Source organism: Homo sapiens, chromosome 20 (genome assembly GCF_000001405.40).
Source record: "Homo sapiens chromosome 20, GRCh38.p14 Primary Assembly".
NCBI classification, from domain to species: Eukaryota; Metazoa; Chordata; class Mammalia; order Primates; family Hominidae; genus Homo; species Homo sapiens.
The window spans coordinates 63,507,601-63,517,257 of NC_000020.11; positions in this window are offsets into that span (position 1 = coordinate 63,507,601).

Here is a 9,657-nt window from a genome sequence, read left to right on the forward strand (position 1 = left end):
TGTCTCGGCTCAGCGTGGCCCAGTGGGTCCAGTCCTCTTGGCCCAGCTCGGCCCAGTGGGTCCAGTCGTCTCGGCCCAGCTCAGCCCAGTGGGTCCAGTCGTCTCGGCCCAGGTCGGCCCAGTGGGTCCAGTCGTCTCGGCCAGCTTGGCCCATGTCCTGGTCTTCAGTGTCTGGTCACCCCCTGGCCTCTGCAGCTTTTTCAACAGCTCTCTTTTGATAGCCATGAAACTGCTACCTGGAATCATCTGTTCTCCTGCGGCCACCCTGTCGTAGTCCTGTCTCACTTTGGGTTAGGTAAATGTCCTGTCCCTCATCAGAATCCATCTCTGGACTTAGCATTCGTGGATGATTCATGGATCAGTGTTTACTATGATGGCTGTGCGTCTTAAATCATTGTTTTATCTGTCATTATTTTTTTGAATTGTCACACAGTAAGTTGACTTTTTTGGAAGATGTACGACTCTGTGAATATTCACACACACGTATTGCCACCGCCGCACTCAGGAAGCAGGACATCCCACGACTCGGAAATCTCCCCAGACATACCGTTTGCGGTCACCCATCCTCTTCCCCCTGGAAACCCCATTTGTTCTAAGAATGTCAGATGAGGCCCAGGACGTAGACGCACCGGGTTGCGTTGAGGTCTGGCTTTTCTGACTTGGCACATCGCTGTGGACACCCACCCAGGGGGTTTCACGGATCGACGGCTCGTTCCTTCTATCACTCAGCAGTATCTCGTACACGACACACCACAGTCTCTGTTCACCCGCAGAAGAACACCTGCAATGTTTCCAGGTTGGGCAGCTATGAATAGAGCTCCCATAAACATCTGTGTACCGTCCTTTAACGTAAACCTGTTTGAATTTGTCTTGGATAAATGCTCAGAAGCGGAATTGCTGGGTCATACGTCAGGCGCAGGTTTCCCTTCACCAGAAGCTGCCGACCTGGCTTCGGGAGGGAAACCCGCGCCGTCTGCACCCCCAGGGGAGTTCCCGGAGCCTCACGGCCGCTGCAGCACTTGGTGTCCTTGGTGTTTGGAAATTTTTTTTTTTTTTTCAGCTGCTCTCATAGGTGGCCTCTCATGGTGCTTTTAATTTGCATTTCCCTAATGTTGCTGAAGAACATTTCATGGGCTAGTTAGTACACGGTCTTTGGTGAAGCTCCCATTAAGTCTTTTATCCTTTTTTTTTTTTTTTTTTTTTTTTTGAGATGGAGTTTTGCTCTCGTCGCCCAGGCTGGAGTGCAGTGGTGCGATCTCGGCTCACTGTAACCTCTGCCTCCCAGGTTGAAGCGATTCTCCTGCCTCAGCCTCCTGAGTAGCTGGGATTACAGGCATGCACCACCACCCTGGCTAATTTTTTTTTTTTTTTTTTTAATAGAGACAGGGTTTCTCCATGTTGCCCAGGCTGGTCTCGAACTCCTGACCTCAGGTGATCCGCCTGCCTCGGCCTCCCAAAGTGCTGGGATTATAGGCGTGAACCACTGCACCCATCCTTTTATCCTTTTTTTAAAACAGCTTTATTGAGATATCATTTACATGCCATAATATTCGCCCATTTAAAGTGCATGATGCAATGGCTCTTAGCATATTTACAAAGCCGAGCAACCATCACCATAATCTAATTTTAGAACATTTCATCACCCCGAAAAGAAACCTTGTACCATTTAGTAATCAGTCCCCATTCCTCCTCCACCTCTAACCAAGCCCTGGGCAACCACTCATCTGCCTTCTGGCTCCATGCATTTGCCTGTTCTGGGCATTTTGTATGAATGGAACCGTGCGCAGTGTGTGGTCTTTGCTGACTGGCTGCTTCTGGGTTTGGTTTCTCTGCGTCGCAGCCTGCGTCAGTGCTTTCTTCTTTCTTATTGCCAAACAATCCTCTGCTGTAGGGACGGGCCACATTTTGTTCATCATTCATCAGTTGATGGACATTTGGGTTGTTTCCACTTTTTTTTGAGACAGAGTCTTGCTCTGTGGTCCAGGCTAGAGTGCAGTGGTGCAATCTCGGCTCACTGCAACCTCTGCCTCCCGGGTTCAAGTGATTCTCCTGCCTCAGCCTCCCAAGTAGCTGGGATTACAGGCACCTGCTACCACACTCGACTAATTTTTGTATTTTTAGTAGAGACAGGGTTTCGCCATGTTAGCCAGGCTGGTCTCGAACTCCTGACCTCAGGTGATCCGCCCACCTCGGCCTCCCAAAGTGCTGGGATTACAGGCATGAGCCACCGCGCCCAGCCTGTTTCCACTTTTTAGCTAACATGAATAATGCTCTATGGTGGTACAAGTTTTTTGTGTGTGGACACGTTTTCATTTATCCCGGGTAGATATTGAAGAGCAAAATCCTGTGACTATATTTAACCTTTTGAGGAAATGCCAAAATGTTTTCCAAAGTGGTTACACTATTTCACATTCCCAGCAGCTGTGTAGCAGGGTTTCCATTCCTCTGCTTTTATTATTGTGTGTCTTTTTATCAGAGCTCTGCTGGGTGTGAAGTGTTGTCTCATTGGGGTTTGGATTTGCATTTCCCTAATGACTAACCCTATGGATCTTTTCATGTACCTTTTAGCCATTTGCATGTCTTTTTTGCAGAAATGTCTATTCAAATCCTTGACTTTTTTTTTTTTTTTTTTGAGATGGAGTCTCACTCTGTTGTCCAGGCTGGAGTGCAGTGGTGCAATCTCGGCTCACTGCAACCTCTGCCTCCCAGGTTCAAGTGATTCTCCTGCCTCAGCCCCCCGAGTAGATGGGACTACAGGCACGCACCATCATGCCCAGCTAAATTTTGTATTTTTTTGTAGAGACAGGGTTTCGCCATGTTGGTCAGGCTGGTTTCGAATTCCTGACCTCCTGATCCGCCCGCCTAGGCCTCCCAAAGTGCTGGGATTACAGGCGTGAGCCACGGCGCCCAGCCCCTTGGCCAAGTTTTCAATTGAATTGTTTATTTTTATTTTTTGGTGTTGAGTCTTGAGAGTTTTCTATGTATTGTGGATACAAGTCCTTTGTCAGTTCTGTGACTTGCACATATTTTCTCCAAGTCTGTGGCTTGTCTTTCTAATCTCTTAACAGGATCATTCACAATACAAGTTTTTTATTTCAGTGAAGCCCAGTTTATCCATATTTTTCTTAAGTGGATCATGCTTTTAATATTGGCTGCTCAGGTCACAAAGATTATCTCTTGTACTTTCTTCTAGATGTTTTATAGTTTACATTTTATATTTAGATACATTATCCATTTGTATAGTTAATCTTTGTATAATATGTGAGATTTAGGTCAAGGTTTTTGTTTGGTTGGTTGTTTTTTGTTGTTGTTGTTTTGTTTTTTTTTTTTTTTTGCATGTGAATGTCAAATTCTTCCAGCACCATTTGTTGAAAAGATTATACTCTTTTTTTTTGAAACAAGGACTCACTCTGTTGCCCAGGGTGGAGTGCAGTGGCATGATCTCAGCTCACTGCAACCTCTGCCTCTCGGGCTCAAGCGATCCTCCCACCACAGCTTCCTGAGTAGCCGGGACTGTAGGCACGTGCCACGAAGCCCAGCTATTTTTTGTAGAGACAAGTTCTCACCATGTTGCCCCTGCTGGTCTCTAACCCCTGGGCTCAAGTGATCCGCCCGCCTCAGTCTCCCAAAGCGCTGGGATTGCATGCGTGAGCCACTGTGCCCGGCAGAAAAGATGATACTTGCTCTGTCAAATCACTGTAGTGCCTTTCTCCGAGAACATTTGGTCACATTTGTGTGAGGCTGTCTCTGGACTCCATCCTGTTACACTGATGTCTGTATCTGTCTCCTCACCAAGACCTCACTGTCTTGTTTTTTTTTTTTTTTTTTTTTTTTGAGACAGAGTCTCACTATGTCGCCAGGCTGGAGTGCAGTGGCACGATCTCAGCTCACTGCAACCTCCGCCTCCTGGGTTCAAGCGATTCTCCCGCCTCAGCCTCCCAAGTAGCTGGGATTACAGGCACACGCCACCATGCCCAGCTAATTTTTGTATTTTTAGTAGAGACGGGGTTTCACCATGTTGGGCAGGATGGTCTCAATCTCCTGACCTCGTGATCCACCCGCCTTGGCCTCCCAAAGTGCTGGGATTACAGGTGTGAGCCACCACTCCCGGCCCTCACTGTCTTGTTTTGTTTTATTCTGTTATTTTTGTTTTTCTAAGACATCTTGTTATCGCACACTGTGTTCAATATTGCGATTTTGTAGCAATTTCTAAAATAAGATCATGGCCGGGTGCAGTGGCTCACGCCATTAATCCCAGCACTTCGGGAGCCTGAGGCGGGCAGATCCCTGAGCCCAGGAGTTCGAGACCAGGCTGGCCAACATGGTGAAACCCCGTCTCTACTAAAACTACAAAAATTAGCGGGGCGTGGTGGTACATCCCTGTAATCCCAACTACTCGGGAGGCTGAGGCACGAGAATCGCTTGAACCCAGGAGGATGCAGTGAGCCAAGATTGCACCACCGCACTCCAGCCTGGGCAACAGAGTGAGACTCCATCTCAAAAATATAAAATAAAATAAAAAGTAAAATAAAATAAAATGAGGTCGTATATGGAAAGAATAGTCTTTTCAACAAATGACGTTAGAAAATCTGCATATCCACCTGCAATATAATGAAACCCGCTCTTCCCTCACCTGTCAATCAATATCATGAAGCCGGCTCTTCCCTCATCTGTCTATCAATATCATGAAACCACCTCTTCCCTCACCCGTCTATCAATACAATGAAACCACCTCTTCCCTCACCCGTCTATCAATATGATGAAGCCGGCTCTTCCCTCACCTGTCTATCAATATCATGAAGCCGGCTCTTCCCTCACCTGTCTATCAATATCATGAAGCCGGCTCTTCCCTCACCTGTCTATCAATATCATGAAGCCGGCTCTTCCCTCACCTGTCTATCAATATCATGAAGCCGGCTCCTCCCTCACCTGTCAATCAATATAATGAAGCCGGGCTCTTCCCTCACCTATATATCAATATGTGATCTAATAAAAATATACTACTATTTGAAGAAACCATAGGTGTAGGCTGGACACAGTGGCTCATGCCTATAATCCCCCAGCTGTTTGGGAGGCTAAGATGGGAGGATCACTTGAGCCCAGGAGTTCAAGACCAGCTTGGGCAACACAGAAAGACCACATCTCTACAAAAAAGTAAGAAATTAGCTGAGAGTGGTTGTGTGCCCCTGTAGTCCCAGCTACCAGGGAGGCTGAGATGGAAGGATCCCTTGAGCGTTGGAGGTCAAGGCTGCAGTGAGCCGAGAATGTGCCATTGCTCTCCAGCCTGGGCAACAGAGGAAGACTGTGTCTCGAAAAAAAAAAAGAAAAATAGGTAAATTGTTCATGACCTTCTTAGATAAGACACTAAAACCACAAGCAAAGTAAGAAAAGGTAGGTAACTGGACTTTGCCAAAATTAAAAACTTTTGAGCATCAAAGGACACTGTCAAGAGAATGAAAAGAGAATCTATAGAATGGGGGAAAATATTTGTGAATCACAGCAGATAAGGGTCCAGCATTCCGAATATACAAAGGACTCTTACAACTCAACAATACAAAGACACTCAATATCATTAGTCATTAGGAAAATGCAAATCAAAACCACAGTAAGACACCACTTCACACTCTCTGAGGTGGCTATAATCAGAAATATGAAAAATATCAAGGTTGGCAAAAATGTGGAAAAATGGGAAGCCTCTTCCATTGTTGGTAGCAACATAAAATGTTCCAGCCACTGCGGAAAACAGTCTGGCAGTTCCTCAGTAAGTTAAACATAGACAGCGATGTGTGAGCCAGCAATTCCACTCCTAAGTACAGACCCAAAAGAGTTGAAAACAGGTATTCAAACAAAAACTTGTACATGGAATGTTTGCAACAGCACTATTTATAATATCCAAAAGGTGGAAACAACTGACGTCCATAAATGGATGGAGAGAGAAATGTGGTCTATCCATACAAAGGAATGCTATTCAGCCACAAAAAATGAATCTAGAAAAGTGGGTGAAGAAACCAGAAACAAAAGGCACAACTCGTATGATTCCATTTGTATGATGTGTTCAGAATAGGTAAATTCAGAGACACAGAAAGCATATTAGTGGTTGCCAGGGGCTGGGGACGGGGACAGGGGAAGAGACTGTTTAATGGGTGTAGTTTCCTTTTGGGGAGATGAAATGTTTTGGAACTAGTCAGAGGTGATGGGTGCACTGCATTGCGAGTGTTCCATGATGCTACTGAATTGCATATTTTAAAATGCTTAATTTTATGATATGGGAATTTTACCTCAACAAAAATTATTGAGGTAGCATAATTTCTCTATATCATTATCTTTGAGATAGAGTCTCGCTCTGTCACCCAGGCTGGAGTGCAGTGGTGTGATCTTGGCTCACCGCAACCTCCACCTTCCAGGTTCAAGCAATTCTTCTGCCTCAGCCTCCTGAGTAGCTGGGATTACAGGTGTGCACCACCAGGCCTGGCTAATTTTTGTATTTTTTGTAGAGACGGGGTTTCACCATGTTGGCCAGGCTGGTCTTGAACTCCTGACCTCAAGTGATCCGCCTGCCTCGGCCTCCCAAAGTGCTGGGATTATAGGCGTGAGCCTCCGCACCCGGCCTCTGTATCATTATTTTCCAAAATTGTTGTAGTTGTTCTAGTTCATCTTTCCATTTTAATTGTGGGAACTGCTTGTCTATATCTTCAGAAAATGTGGCTGAGATTTGTACTGGAATTGCATTTAATGTATAAATCAACATGGCAAAAATCAGTATCTCTACTGTTGAGTCCAAAACCCAGGAACACAGCATGTCTCTCCGTTTGCCTGGGTCTTGATACTTTCATTAACATTTCATTTTTTTAAATTTCTGATTCTAACTGTACATTGCAGGTAGAAATACTGTATTAGTTTGTCCTTGCACTGCTATAAAGAACTACCTAAGACTGGGTAATTTATAAAGAAAAGAGGTTTAATTGACTCACAGTTCTGCAGGCTGTACAGGAGGCCTCAGGGAACTTACAATCATGGTGAAAGGCAAAGGGGAAGCAAGCACATCTTCACGTGGCAGCAGGAAGAGAGTGAAGGGGGAGTTGCTACACACTTTCAAACCACCAGGTCTCGTGAGAACTCTATAACCAGACAGCACTCGGGAATGGTGCCAAACCATTAGAAACCACCAACATGAGGCCGGGCGCAGTGGCTCACGCCTGACACCCCAGCACTTTGGGAGGCCGAGGCGGGCGGATCACAAGGTCAGGAGTTTGAGACCAGCCTGGCCAATATGGTGAAACCCCGTCTCCACTAAAAATACAAAAAAAAAAAAAAATTAGCCAGGCATGGTGGCGGGCGCCTATAGTCCCAGCTACTCGGGAGGCTGAGGCAGGAGAATTGCTTGAACCCAGGACGCGGAGGTTGCAGTGAGCTGAAATCGGGCCACTGCACTCCAGCCTGGGGGACAAAGCGAGACTCTGTCTCAAAAAAAAAAAAAAAAAAGAAAGAAAGAAAATAGAAACCACCCTCATGACCCAATCACCTCCCACCAGGCTCCACCTCCAACACTGGGGATCACAATTCAACATGCAGTTGGGGACTCACAGCCAAATCATGTCAAATACAATGGATTTTTGCATGTTGACTTTGTATATTGCCATCTTGCTAACCCCACTTATTCACTGAGTTTGCTTTTTTGTAGATTCCTTGGGATTTTCTACATAGACAATCATGTTGTCTGGGAATCGGGAGAGGTTTATTTCTTCATTTTCAATCTGTATGCCTGTACTTTGCTTCTCTTGTATTTTACTGACTAAGACTTCCAATAGATGGCTTTTTTGTTGTTGTTATTGTTTTTGTTTTTTGAGACAGGGTCTCACTGTGTCACCCAGGCTGGAGTGCAGTGGCATGATCTCGGCTCACTGCAACCTCCACCTCCTGGGTTCAAGCAATCCTGCCTAAGTCTCCTGAGTAGCTGGGACTACTGGCACGCACCACCACACCTAGCATGTTTTTTGTTTGTTTGTTTGTTTTTTAGTACAGATGGGGTTTCACCACCTTGGCCAGGCGGGTCTTGAACTCATGACTTCCAGTGATCCACCCGCCTTGGCCTCCCAAAGTGCTGGGATTACAGTTGTGAGCCACCGCGCCCGGCCGGTAAATGTTGATAATAGGAGTAGGAGTGGATGCGCTCGTCCTGCTCTCAGTCCTGGGAAAAGGATTCTCTCACCTCAGTACAGCACTGGCTGTAAATACTTCATCAGAGCTCTTTCTTAGATTGAAGTTGTTTTCTGTTCCTGCTTTGCCGAGATGTTCACCGTGAACGCACACTAAATGTTGTCCAATGCTCGCTCACTGTCCATCGCTTGATGTAAGGGGCTTACAACTGCAGGTTGGTGCATTTTTACAAATCCCAGCACCTGTGCCATCTCAGTGTTAGCATTTGCTGACTGTTTTTTTCCATTTATTTGTTTTTTCGGGGTTTTTTTGAGATGGAGTTCACTCTTGTTGCCCAGGCTGGAGTGCAATGGCGCAATCTCAGCTCACTGCAACCTCCACCTCCAGGTTTCAAGCAATTCTCCCGCCTCAGCCTCCTGAGTAGTTGGGATTACAGGCATGCACCACCACGCCTGGCTAATTTTGTATTATTATTATTATTTTTTTTGGAGATGGAGTCTTGCTCTGTCGCCCAGGCTGGAATGGTGTGATCTCAGCTCACTGCAACCTCCACCTCCCAGGTTCAAGAGATTCTCCTGCCTCAGCCTCCCAAGTAGCTGGGATTACAGGTGCCCGACACCATGCCCGGCTAATTTTTGTATTTTTAGTAGAGATGGGATTTTGCCATATTGGTCAGGCTGGTCTCAAACTCCTGACTTCAGGTGATCTGCCTGCCTCAGCCTCCCAAAGTGCTGGGATTACAGGCATGAGCCACCATGCCCAGCAACTGAGATTTTCCTGGTTCACTTATGCCAAGTAATTTTGGATTTTATCCTAAAGTGTAGGGTTTTATTCTTTTTTTTTTTTTTTTTTTTGAGGCGGAGTCTCGCTCTGTCACCCAGGCTGGAGTGCAGTGGCGCGATCTTGGCTCACCGCAAGCTCCACCTCCTGGGTTCACACCATTCTCCTGCCTCAGCCTCCCAGGTAGCTGGGACTACAGGCGCCCGCCACCACGCCCGGCTAATTTTTTTGTAATTTTTTAGTGGAGATGGGTTTTCACCATGTTAGCCAGGATGGTCTCGATCTCCTGACCTCGTGATCCGCCCACCTCGGCCTCTCAAAGTGCTGGGATTACAGGCGTGAGCCACCGTGCCCGGCCTCGTTTTCCATTTAAGTTGAGATTTTCCTGGTTCAGTTATGCCAAGTAATTTTGGATTTTATCCTAAGTCCAGGGTTTTATTCTTTTTAGAGATGGGGTCTCTCTCTGTCACCCAGGCTGGAGAGCAGGTGCCATCGTAATTCACTGCAGCTTCCAGCTCCTGGGCTCCAGTGACCCTCCTGCCTCAGCTTCCTGAGTGGCTGGGACCACAGCGCGTGGCTCTTTGATGAATAAACACTCCTTGGTTTGCTGTTTGCCTTTGGTTAAATTCCAAAGCACTGACATGGTTGTTTCTGACTTTTGTTTAGATTTACAGGTACATTTTGGAGAGAGGGTTTGTTGACCTCCTCACCCCTCCACTC